The sequence below is a fragment of the Homo sapiens genome, chromosome 17 (genome assembly GCF_000001405.40).
Source record: "Homo sapiens chromosome 17, GRCh38.p14 Primary Assembly".
NCBI lineage: Eukaryota > Metazoa > Chordata > Mammalia > Primates > Hominidae > Homo > Homo sapiens.
In genome coordinates, this window is record NC_000017.11 from 65,099,574 (window position 1) to 65,112,813 (window position 13,240).

At 46.9% G+C, this 13,240-nt stretch overlaps 2 long non-coding RNA genes across 2 annotated transcripts in view, besides 1 other annotated feature; one reads left to right on the forward strand and one right to left on the reverse strand.

Annotated features, from left to right (window-relative positions):
• The window catches only part of LOC105371864 (uncharacterized), a 22,748-nt gene extending 21,609 nt beyond the window's left edge, over nt 1–1,139 (reverse strand). The window contains exon 1 of the long non-coding RNA XR_934923.2: nt 1,108–1,139. This is a non-coding gene — a long non-coding RNA (uncharacterized LOC105371864). The remainder of the gene's footprint in view (nt 1–1,107) is intronic.
• Nucleotides 1,006–1,335: a silencer, noted in NCBI's record as "silent region_8860". NCBI's record gives its function as "represses an Ori minimal core promoter by ATAC-STARR-seq in GM12878 lymphoblastoid cells {active_cell/tissue: GM12878}" and the evidence as "EXISTENCE:reporter gene assay evidence [ECO:0000049][PMID:35858748]".
• LOC100507002 (uncharacterized) lies at nt 1,239–11,522 on the forward strand. The gene is made up of 3 exons (NR_110801.1): nt 1,239–1,469; nt 1,634–1,723; nt 11,143–11,522. It is a non-coding gene; the product is annotated as an uncharacterized LOC100507002 (long non-coding RNA).
• The last annotated feature ends 1,718 nt before the right edge of the window (nt 11,523–13,240 follow it).

Here is a 13,240-nt window from a genome sequence, read left to right on the forward strand (position 1 = left end):
TAGTAACAACAACTGGTATCTATTGATTCTTTACTCCTTTGTCCCCTATCATTGTACCATCCCCATTTTACAGAAATCAAAGCACAGAGGGGTTAAGTAACTTGCCCAAAGCCACACAGAGAGTAAGTAATGGAGTTGATATTTGACCCCAAGTAATCTGATTCCAGAGATTATATTTTACCTCCAATTATGACTCCAACAGTTTTCATATTATTTTGAGAATTCTGAGAATTATTCTCAGAATAATATATATATGTGTATATATTATATATACATATATATATATATATATGCCAGACTATGTATATAATGTATATATGTATATAATGGAACCACTACGCCTAGTAAATTGTTTTTTTTAAGGTCCCAAGAGACATAGGAGAGAAACTATTGGTTACTGGACATTCACCAAGTGTCAGTCATAGTTCTAAGCGCTTGTACATGAATCAGCTCAGTAATCTTAAAACCAAAACCAGAACCAAACAAACCGCCGCCCACCCCCTGGGGAGAGTGCAGTGATTCTCACTCATCAGATGAGACAAAGGAAGCCCAGAGAGGTTCCATAACTTGCTTGAGATCCTACAGCTAGGTGGCAAATCCAGGGCTCAGAGCCAGCCCATTTGGCCCGTGAGCAGCATTCTTCACCACCAAGCACACCCCACTGCCAGTCTTTAACCCAGTTATTCATTCAGTCCTCACAGCACATGATCGACAGGAGTCATTTCCTACCCACTTGCTTTTCTCGGGTTAGATGGGGTAACTGACGCTGATAAAGTTTAAATATTAGGTTGGAGCAAAAGTAATTGTGGCTTTGCCATTTTAATGGCAAAACCCGAATAATTTGCTTAGTGCCATTCAATGACTTGGGGCTGGCTAGCCAGGGAGCCAAAGCGTGTTGCATCTGTTTTCACTTCCCCAGGCCTTAGTGGTGCGGTCTAAGGCTCGCCCTCTGCCACACATCCTCCTCTCCCTCCTCCCGGCAGCTCCTCCTCCTCCTCGTCCACCTCCACCTCCTCCTCCACCCCCTCTCCCTCCACCTCCTCCTCTCCCTCCTCCTTTTCCCCCCGTACCCCTCCGCCCCCCGGGGCCCTGCCCTGCGGGTCTCACCTGCCGCTCGGCGGGGTCCCGGCGGGGGCCGGACAGCGCCACCTGGCGGCAGGTGGACGCCCGCGCAGCGCATGCTAATGAGCCCGCGTCGTCGCTCGCGGATTGGCTGGCGCGGATTCCAGCTGCTTTCCAAGTTGGAGGCGCCTAGTGAGGGTCAGGGAGGCCCGGCCCGCGCCCTCCCCGCCCAGCCGCCTCCCCGTCGACCACCCAGGGCTGGGGCGAGCCAGGCTGCCTTTCGAACTTGGGGGCTTCTCCTCTTGTCTCCCACTGGTGCTCTGGCCGTGAATCCATCCAGGCGCCAGGAGATGACAATCCGGTACCAAGGCCGGCAGTACAGGCTGAGGATGGCATTTCTCCAAAAGGTAACCCTGGCCCCTTACCTGGGCCCTGGAGTGCCGGGGACCACATCTGGGAAGCGTCCGAGGACACGTGGGGCAGGAGTGGAGGGCACCCCTTTGGGTCGATTTGTGCAGCTCGATTTCATTAAGTGACTGGTGTGAGTTGTGATAAAGACAATTCCGTTTAGGTTTCCAAGCTGCGTCCTGGGCCTGGAGACTGAGACAGAGATCCACGGACTGCAGTGCAGGCAGCCCACCCCAGATCCGAGTCATATAAGGTAACCCAGACAACCACCTACGAATTTAAAGCTCCTATAAGTTGCCCTTTCTGCATCCGAAGTGTGATATTTGAAAGTTAAAAACGTTATCTTACATACATAGATCTTAAAACGTATCTTACACCACAACCTACTCACAGATGCAAAGGCAGTGGTCATGGTCTTCCATTGCTTGGGGTCCTGGGGCCGGGTTTGAGGCTGAATGTCAGGGTTTCCTTTGCCATAACCTCATTCTGCACCACGTGCTGTCAGCCAGGCAGCCAATGTGGACTTGGAGGCTGGCATCTGCTGGGCACTGCTCGAGGTACCAGGGACACAGTGATGAGCAAAACGAGCATGGCCCCTGCCCTCAAAGTCCCTTGAGGCTAAATGGCCCACCCAAGGGCAGCTTAACAGTGCCCAGCCTTGGGGGATGTGGGCTGATGGAGGACTGGGCCCACCACAAGGTACCTTAGGGTGCCCCCAGTCAAATATATCTACTTTTTTTTTTTTTTTTTTGAGACAGTCTCACTCTCTTGTCCAGGCTGGAGTGCAGTGGTGCGATCTTGGCTCTCTGCAACCTCCACCTCCCAGGTTCAAGCGATTCTCCTGTCTCAGCCTCCCGAGTAGCTGGGATTACAGGTGCGCACCATCACACCTGGCTAATTTTTATATTTTTAGTAGAGGCGGGGTTTCACTATGTTGGCCAGGCTGATCTCGAACTCCTGACCTCAAGTGATCAGCCCCCTTCGGCCTCCCAAAGTGCTGGGATTACAGGCATGAGTCACTGCGCCCGGCCAAATACATCTTTCTAGAGGAGCCAAGCTCCCTCAGCCAGCCAATGGCAGAGCTGCAGGTGAATGGCATCAGATGGTGTTGACATCCCACCCAACATCAGGGACTTCTACTGTAAGTGCCCGAGCCTCTCTGCTCAGGGGGTTTTCTCTGGCCATAGGAACATGACTGCCACACATGTGGCCAGAGTGCCAGGGAGTGGATGCCCCCTGGATCAGCCTGCAACTGATAGTGAAAGACAGTTGCTTGATGAAAAGTACCAAGCTTCCTCCCCACCGGGTATGGCTCTTCTGAGGGTGTTCTATGTTGTTTCTCCCAGAGGCTCCCAGTAGGACAGAACTCAGGTGGCCCACGGGGGTTGCTGCTCATGAATGAGCCCTGTATTGTCCACCTTACTTACCCTGTCCCACCTCCCCAGGCACCAGCCGCTTTCAGGAATCAATCTTCCCACCCATGCGACAGGCTAGTTCAATTATTATCTCCGTTTTACAGGTAAGGAAACTGAGGCTGGTAAGGGCTAACACTAGAAGAATTGTTGACATGATACAGAAAAGCTGGTCTCACTACAATTGTAGAAACATAATTATTTATTTTATTATTATTATTATTTGAGACAAAGTCTGGCTCTGTTGGCCAGGCTGGAGTGCAGTGGCGTGATTTCGGCTCACTGCAGCCTTGACCTCCTGGGCTCCAGTGATCCTCCCTTCTCAGCCTCCCAAGTAGCTGGAACTACAGGCAGGCACTACCATGCCTGGCTAATTTTTTTTGTTTTTTTTTTTATAGAGATTTTTTTGTATTTTTAATAGAGATGGGATTTTGCCCTGTTGCCCAGGCTGGCCTCAAACTCCTGAACTCATGTGATCTGCCTGCCTCGGCCTCCCAAAGTGCTGCGATTACAGGCATGAGTCACTGTGCCCAGCCAGGAGAAATATAAAATTAAGACTGTGGTGAGAGGGAGCTTCCGATTCTACTTGAAGAGTGGGGGTAGTCATCACTGAAGAGAGAGCCTTCAAGCTTGGAGGATCCTGAGGCTTCCGCTGGGCAGAGGAAGGAAGACCCCACCTGCAGAAGCAGCCCCTGCCGAAGTACAGGGATGTATGAGAGTCTGGTGTGTCTGAGGGCATGCTGATTGCTGTTCACTGAGCATATAGTACAAGGGGAGTGTGAGGTGGGACAGGCAGGCAGGGATGGATAGGAAAGGTCTATGCCTTACAGAGGTGGTGCTATTTTTCCCCAAAGAGCAGGTGAGTGAAGTGGTCAGATTTAGGTTCAAATGAGGGCTCTAATGTAAGCCAGAAGAATGGATGGGATATATTTCCTTCCCTGAGCCAAGAGAATTCACTCAGGGTCTTTCTGTGCTGTCTGCAACTCCAGTTACCTAGGAAATGACAGCTTTTCATGGGGTCAGAGGGAGTGGTGCTGATCAGAAGGGCCCTTCTCCTGTGACTGTGGAGGCTTTCACACCTGTCATCACTCCTGTGATGTCCCAGGCTCGATGCAGCCCTGTGTAGGTATGTCTACCAGCCAAGCTGATGCCAACCAGCCAAGCTGATGCCCACCTCTGATGCCTGGACTTGTTGAAAATGTGGTGGAGGCTGGGCATGGTGGCTCATGCCTATAATTCCAGCACTTTGGAAGGCCGAGGAGGGAGGATGGCTGGAGCCCAGGAGTTTGAGGACAGCCTGAGCAACAGAGTGAGACACTGTCTCTCCAAAAAAAAAAGAAAAAAATTAGCCAGGTGTGGTGGTGCACACCCGTAGTCCCAGGTACTCGAGAAGCTAAGGTTGGAGGATCGCTTGAGTCTAGAAGGTCCTGGCTGCAGTGAGCTGTGATTGCACCATTGCACTCCAGTCTGGGCGACAGAATGAAACAGTGTCTCAAAAATACATAGGTAGATTTTTTTTTTTTTTAATGTGTAGAAGGAGATGAAGAATTCCCCTGTCCAGCGGCTCTGCCTGGGGGGTGTTAGCTGGTGACACATAGTGAACTAAACAGCAGGGCTGGGCAAACTGCTGTGGCCTCCAGCACACGCAGGGCTCTTGTTTCAGCCTAGCTTCTCATTTCCTGTGTTCCGGCAGCCCTGACCACCTGGGGTGAGGTGGAAAAAATTTCCATCTGGACTTCTAAAATGCTTTCCTATTTGACTTAAGGAAAAGTTGAGGATGTGAGGGTGTTCTTGCAGCAGATGGGGTGCCAGGAAGAGAGTTGAGCTTAGACGAGGGCTACAAGAAGAAAGGATCTTAATGAGGCTTGGGCAGAATTTAGAATTGCTTGTATCATTTGTTCACTCCTCCATGTGACAGACATTTATTGAGCACCTACTATGTGTCAGGTATTGTTAGACACTGTCATAACACAGACTTCAGGACACAGTCCCTGTTCTCAAGTGACTTGTAGTCTAGTGGTAGGAGATGGCCACATGTATCAACACAGTGGCATGGCACAGGTGCCATGCAGACAGCTGGAGGGTAAAGGAGGTGCTTAAGTGTGGGCCTTTACTTTATCCTGGGTGGAATGTCAAGAAAGCATTCTGAAAGATATGGTGGTGGTTTCTCTAGGTCTTGAGGATGTGAGGCTGTTCTTAGGGCAGATGGGGTGCCAGGAGGAGAGTTGGGACAAAGGTGGAAGAGGAACATGAACTTGGCTTGGATCTATTGTGTGTCAGCTGTTGGTCAGAGCCAGATGGTGATGTCCAGTAGGCAATTCTGTGTCTGGAGGCAGGGCCTGAAAAACCTGGGAGACACATTAAACTGGTCATTGAGAATGTAATAGAAATGAGGGATGTTTCTGAGGCTGGGTACAGTTAACAAGGCATATTAGACTTGGGCATTTGGACTGTGGCTGGCAGTGCTATAGTTGGGATGTGAGTTGCCAACTAAAAAAAAGAGCACAGTGGTTTGGGGTCACTATTTACATCTCTGCACAGCAAACTCATAATTATGATTGTCTTCCAGGAAGCTTGCTCTGGATTATAGGAAAATTCCAGTCCCTGAAATCTTGTAGAGAGTGACAGCCACTTACTATGAGAAGAAATCGTGACCATGGGGTGGATGGAATATTGAGACTATCACTTTCTGATACTTTCAGTGACTGTCTGGGTACTTTAAAATGTTCAATGTCATACCTCACTTAGCTGGAATCTGAGAGGGGCAACGCTAGGCCTGTGATGGGGTCAGAGAGAGTCCAGTGATGATGCTTTTTTTTTTTTCCCCCGATGGAGTGAAGTGGTGCGATCTTGGCTCACTGCAACCTCCACCCCCGGGTTCAAGCGATTCTCCTGCCTTAGCCTCTGGAGTAGCTGGAATTACAGGTGCCTGCCACCATGCCTGGCTAATTTTTATATTATTAGTAGAGATGGGGTTTTGCCATGTTGGCCAGGCTGACCTCGAACGCCTGACCTCAGGTGATCCACCCGCTTTGGCCTCCCAAAGTGCTACGATTATAGATGTGAGCCACCGTGCCCAGCCCAGTGATGACCCTTTTATGTAGCATTTGTTTGAGGCCTCAGGAAATAGTTGTGGAGAAGTCAGGATTCTGGGAGAACTGGGCAGCTGTGCTCTGGTAAACAGTGGTGGGGTGGGGTGGGGAGGTGATGGTATGGGGAAGGACCGGGGGTCTTCAATGTGTCTCACGAAAGGAGATAGCTCAGAAGGGATGCACGCTGGACAGAAGAAGGGGTAGCCTGGAGAAAGGCCACAGCTGCACCCTTCCTGGGGAGCTTGAAAATCAAGGTGGGTTTTCTCCCGTCGTGAGTGGAGTACAGGCACCTGTCACCTGCCACCTTGCCCACCAAGACCACCTCTCCAAGACCATTCCGGACCCAAGGAGTCAGTCATATTTTTCGTAATTGAGATTTATTACAATTTAAAAAGGAATCCCTTAAGTGAGTTTACAGGGGAAAAGGTTGGAGGAAAATTATTCTGTCCCCTAATGGGAAGACCCCTAAAAATGTTCAAGACACAGACTCCCCTCTTCCCAGAAAATCCCTCCTTTGTGCAGAGACGTCATCGCTGGAAAGCCCCTCTTGATTGTGCTTTTAGAAATAACTCCTGTTAATCTCCTTTGAGGGGTAGTTGCAAATTCCTCAGAGATTGATTTTTTTTTTTAAACACAAAGGGAAAGAAATGGAGTGACTGTCATTTTTATCAGAGAAGTTTAAATGTCTAACTGGCAAAGTAGGTACAACTCCGCCATCCACCGTTAGCTCCCTCTGCCTCACTACTAAGGAGATGGTTATTTTACCCGATGAAGTACCGTATTTATAATCTGAAAAGTTATGACTGAAAGGACGAGGATGCTTTAAGCCCTGTCATCAGAAACTGCATAACAGTGTGTGTGTGTGTGTGTGTGTGTGTGTGTGTGTGTGTGTGTGTGTGCTGGGGAGGACGGGGCTGTTGGCTGCTGCTGAAAAGAATCACTCCAGTAGCCATGGCTCCTCAGTCCCCTGGCCATCCCAGGAAGAGCAGGACCACCTCTCAGCATCCCCCAGTACAGTGTGGGGTTGTGTCTTTGCTCCCCTCTCTGCTGTTGGCCTCATGGCTGACCCAGTGGCCAGAAACACTGCCAAGTCCTGACACTGCAGAAAGCCAAGGATTGTGGCTCCAAATCAAGCTGAAATGAATAGCTTTTGTTCCAAAACAATTCTGTGAGCCAAGAAAGTGTCCATGCAGATAAAGCTTGCAGTCAGTCTTGCACAAGGAGCCCCAGCCGTGTTTTGCACGCTGTCTGAGTGACTGGCGCTGTGCCCGGAATGCTGAGTGGTGAGGCTATCCTCAGAGCCTTCCCTGTGCACCTGATCTTGGCCCATTTCTTGAGATTGTGGTTCAGCTGCAAATGCTTGTTTAGCAACAGAGATTGAAATAGGAAATCCCTTTCCTTAGTGTTGGCATAAGACATTGTTCCATACTCTTTCCCTCCTTGGGAAGATTGGAGCCTCCTAGCTTCAGGAGCAGGCTGCCTGAGAGGGAGGGGGCAATTAGGATTTTTCTGATTCAGCTCTCTTCTGATATATCCAGGTTAGTCTACACCTCCTTCCTGTCTACCTAGCCATATCATGGGTTCCTTCCCAAGTTCACTTCCTCTAGGAAGCATTCATTGACCATCTGTCTTAGTCCATTTTCTGTTGCTATAACAGAATGCTTGACATGGGCTAATTTATAAAGAAAAGAAGCTTATTTGGCTCACGGTTATGGAAGCTGGGAAGACCAAGGGCATGGTGACAGCTTCTGGTAAGGGATTTTTTTTTTTTTTTTTTTGAGACAGAGTCTCGCTCTGTCACCCAGGCTGGAGTGCAGTGGCCTGATTTCAGCTCACTGCAAGCTCCGCCTCCTGGGTTCACGCCATTCTCCTGCCTCAGCCTCCCTAGTAGCTGGGACTACAGGCACCTGCCACCATGCCTGGCTAATTTTTTGTATTTTTAGTAGAGACGGGGATTCACTGTGTTAGCCAGGATGGTCTCAATCTCCTGACCTCGTGATCTGCCCGCCTCAGCCTTCCAAAGTGCTGGGATTACAGGCGTGAACCACCATGCCTGGCCCCTGGTAAGGGATTTCATACTGCATTATAACACAGCAGAAATGGGGAAGGGCAAGTGAGTGCACGCAAAAGACACCTCAGGGCACTAACTCAGTCCCTTGGAAATGATCTCACTCACAAACAGCATTAATCCACTTATGGGGCTCTACCCTTATTACCTAATTCCCTTTTAAAAGGCCCCACCTCTCAATACTGTTACATTAGCAACTAAGTTTCCAACACATGGACTTCTGAGGGACACACTCAAACCTATAGAAGCATCCTGTGATCACAGTCCCTTTTCAGCTCCTGTGCAATTAGGATCTGTATGCTTCACATGAGACACATTTTTATTCTGTGCTGTGTATTGGTCATCTCTCTCTATATACTTTACCACCTCAGCTCCCAGAGGACAAAGATTATGTTGTTTATTTGTAGCAGTCATGCCACTGGATTCATAAAAAGTATTCAATTAAATCTCACTCTTTGCATTAGGTTGTCTAACTGAGTTTTTCTTATGTGTCTTTACTGTCTGGTCCCTAGAAGGCATATTGTGACAATGATAACATCTATCACTACCACTCCCACCCTATTGTCACTGTTCCTATATTGCCTTAGGGATTATATAACTGTTTCATATTCATTATTTTCATTTGATCACAAGCACCCTTTTAAATAGATAGGGCAGATATTAGATGTTTTTTTCCTTAGTGGATGAAAATACTAAGGTTCAGAGAGGTCAGTTAACTGGTCCAGTGTCACACAGCTGACATCATCTATTTTTCAGCTTCACTGAGGCTAGAAAAACCAGTGGTCTCATTCTGAGGACGGCTACGTGCATATATGTTAAAAGGACTTTGTGAACTGAGGGCTCATACAATGGTGCATAGAATTATGATTAATGGCAGCCAGACACGGTGGCTCACGCCTGTAATCCCAGCACGTTGGGAGGCCGAGGCAGGCAGATCACGAGGTCAGGAGATCGAGACCATCCTGGCTGACATGGTGAAACCCTGTCTCTACTGAAAATACAATACAAAAAAATTAGCCGGGCGTGTTGGTGGGTGCCTGTAGTCCCAGCTACTTGGGAGGCTGAGGCAGGAGAATGGCGTGAACCTGGGAAGCGGAGCTTGCAATGAGCAAGATCGCGCCACTGAACTCCAGCCTGGGCGACGGAGCAAGACTCCGTCTCAAAAAAAAAAAAAATTATGATTAATGGCAGAAAAATAGATACTGCAAGATTGAAACAGTTCAATGAAGACAGAGCAGTATGGATGGATGGCTCTGGATTTGGTTGATAGGAGCCAAAGAGTTGATTGCGTTTGAGGGGCCCTCCAGGTGCAGATGTGTAGCAGGCAGCGGGAAATAACTCTGAGGAGGGCGGCAAGGGCAGAGTAAATGGGTGAGGAATGACCTTCATTCTTACTGTAGGTCTCCTGTATACCCTGATATTTCCTGTCTCCATTCCTTTGCTTCTGTTGTACCTTCATCCTGGGATGCCTCTCCTCACCCCAGAGCTTGAGGCTGTTATTTCCAGTTGGCTGCTACACATTTCTGTGTATATGTTCCAGAGCACGGCACAAACAAGTTTTTCTCTTTCAAAACAGGCTGCTTTCTTTTGTGTTTCCTGTTTTAAATACTGACTACCACCATTGGCTTGGCAGAGAGGTAGGAAATCTTGGAATCATATTCTCTTGCCTTCACCAAATTGTATACATTATCAACTAAGTTTCAAACACACAAACTTTTGGGAGTCACCTTCAAACCACAGGACCATCCTATGATTGCTGTCCCTTTTGAGCTCCTGTGCAATTAGGATTGCAGTGTCTAAGTACAAGAGACTCATCTATAGTGCTTCTAGTGACCATATTCTCTTACTTTTCCTCATTGCCTCTGCCTGAACTGTGCTCTCTCCTGCATGATTATTTCCTCTGATACAGAAAGGTTTACTCCTCCTTTTTCTCTACTTGGCCGTACCATGGGTTCCCTTCCAAGTTCACTTCCTCTAGGAAGTATTTCTTGATTATTTGTCTTAGTCCATTTTCTGTTGCTCTAACAGAATACCCGAGACTGGGCAATTTACAAAGAAAAGAAGCTTATTTGGCTCACGATTATGGAGGCTGCGAAGTCCAAGGGCATGGCTACAACTGCATACCCTCCTTTTTGCATCTATAATTTTGCACATCTAAAACCATCTATAATTTTGCAAAACAAGGCAAACTCTGCTGCTTCTCCATGAGAGCTTCCATTTGTCTATGAATGACATCGAAGACCTATTGTGTCCTGGATTTATTTGCTCTCCCTTGGCATGCCATGCAGTTTTACCCATTCATGCCTTTGCACGTGCTTGTTCCTCAGCCTGGAATGCTCCTTTTCTCTGGGGCAGAAGCAACAACTTCTTGCCAAATAGCCCATGTTCTCTGAGTTAGAATTACTGGGCCATGAGCAGAAGTGTTGTGTGGGTTTTCAGGCTGAAGTCTTGAAGGGTGAGTACCAATTCTCCATGTTTTTCTCTCTTCCCCTGCACAGTGATGGAGCACATGTAATGGAATGAGAAACCATAAATGGTAGCAGCCTAGAGAGTTGAGTCAAGACATCAAGGGAGGGCCCTGGACACTGCCCAACTTGACTTAGCATTTTCTTAAGAGAGATAAACCCTTGTTGGGTTAAATCTGTGTTACCACAGCATAATCTAAATTATCCTGAGTAATACATTCTCATTTTCTGCCAGTTACAAATCTTTAAGTATCAGCTTAAATCCTCTTTCTTTAAAAGCCTTCCAGAACCAACCCACCCCTAGCCAGAATTGATGTCTTTTCTTTGTGCTTTCACAGCCTGTGTAACTTATGTCTATTTGACACTTAATGCCTAGTATTATGGTTGGTCATGTAGAGTTAGTGACAGAATGAGTAAGAGTATGAATTCCAAAGCCAGACTGACTGGTTCACATATCAGCTCTGTCATTTACCAGCAGTGGGAATTTCGATGAGTTACTTAGACTTCCAGAACTTGGGTTCATATTTGTCCCTCCAGAACCTACCAGAGTGTCCGACATAGTAATTATATTACATATGTCAATAATTATGTTAAATAATACCTGTTTACCGGCCTCCTTCTTTTTTGTCTTGCAGGTTGAAATATCAGTAAAAAACATGCAGACCCAAAGATGGGGACCAAAATCCAAAGCCAGAGGGTCCTGGAAATCAGAGGGTCTTACAACATAACAGGCAGTACAGGCCATGGCTCAGGCTAGGCGTGGAACAGACTGCAGTTCTCTTCTACAAATCAATCTAGACTGGACAGACAGAACTCCAAGGGAGGAAAGAAAAATGAATCTGATGTTACTTCTTGAAACCACATTTTCTGAAGTCACCATTTTTATGTATCTATCAACTCATCATTTTTATGTATATATCAATATGATTTTATGATCTTATTTTTTCCTACTAATGTGATGAATTACCTTGATTGATTTTAGAATATTAAATCACTTTTGTATTCCTGGAATAAACCCTAGATGGATGCTTGATTTTTTCTAATTCCTTAGCAAAAATGCTAATATTTTATTTAGGATTTTGCATCTATATTCACAAGTGAGGATTTTTTTCCTCTCCTGACACCAACCAATTCTCCAACACAAACTGAGTGTCCTACAATTCAATTTAATTCTGACACTACCCAGAGTTAGCATTAGCCTCCACAGATTTAAGGCCTCAGCCCTACAAGACTGTCCCAATCAGACTCCAGTTGCAAGTCCTGGGCCACCCATACTTCTGGGCAACTGGTTACAAATTGGGGGTTCTTATGACCACCTCCCACAGGCTTGACAATTTGCTAGAATGATTAGTGGAAAGCAAGAAAGTGCTTAACTTAATATTACTGGTTTATTACAAAGGATACAATTCAGGAAAAGCCAAATGGAAGTGATGCATGGAGCAAGGCAAGGGAGAATGAGCACAGAGCTTTCCTACCCTCTCCAGGCACACCACTCTCCCAGCACCTTGATGTGTTCACCAACCTGGAAGCTCTCTGAACCCCATCATTTAGAGGTTTTAATGGAAGTTTCATTACATAGGCATGACTTTTTTTTTTTTTTTTTTTTTTTTTTTTTTGAGACGGAGTCTCGCTCTGTCGCCCAGGCTGGAGTGCAGTGGCACCATCTCGGCTCACTGCAACCTCCACCCCCCAGGTTCAAGCAATTCTCCTGCCTCAGCCTCCCAAGTAGTTGGGACTACAGGTGGACACCACCATGCCCAGCTAATTTTTGTATCTTTAGTAGAGACGGGGTTTCACCATGTTGGCCAGGCTGGTCTTGAACTCCTGACCTCAGGTGATCCGCCTGCCTTGGCTTCCCAAAGTGCTGGGATTATAGGCATGAGCCCTACATAGCAATGACTGATTGAATCTTTGAACACTGGTGATTACTTCAATCTCCAGCCCCTTGTCCCTCTCCCCTCCCCAGAAGTCAGTGGGTGGGGCTAAAAGTTCCAACCCTCTAATCATGCCTAGTTCTCCTTTTTTTTTTTTTAGTTGTTTATTTTTCTTGGCATGCAGAATAAGAGCTATTGTCTAGGTCTTTCTGGTGACCTCTTCATCCTGAACTACCTAGAAGCCTCCAGCCACTAGTCATTTCATTAGTATACAAAAGACACTCTTGCCATTGTGGAGATTTCAGGAGTTTCGGGAGCCATGTGCCAGGAACCAGGGACAAAACCCAAATATTTATTTTTTCTCATACCACAATGATTGACATTGGTCTGTAATTTTTTCTGCTTATAATATCCTAGTCCAGTTTTTCTATTAAGGTTATGGCCACATAAAAAGAGTTGGGAACTATACTCTGTTTTGCTATTCTTTGGTAGAGTTTGTCCAAGTTTATGCAAGATTGGTATTATTCTTTTTTTTTTAGAGACAGGTTCTCACTCTGTCACCCAGACTGGAGTAGCAGTGATGCCATCACAGCTCATTCACTATAACCTTGAACTCCTGGGCTCAAGCAATCCTCCCACCTAAGCCTCCTAAGTACCTGGGACTACAGGTGCACGCTGCCATGCCCTGCTAATTTTTAAATTTTTGGTAGAGGCGGTGCCTTACTGTATTGTCCAGGCTGGTCTTGAACTCCTAGACTCAAGTGATTCTCCTACCTCAGCCTCCCAAAGTGCTGGGTGTATAGGTGTGAGCCACCACACACAGCCCATGGTATTATTCTTTAAATATTTGGAAGAATTA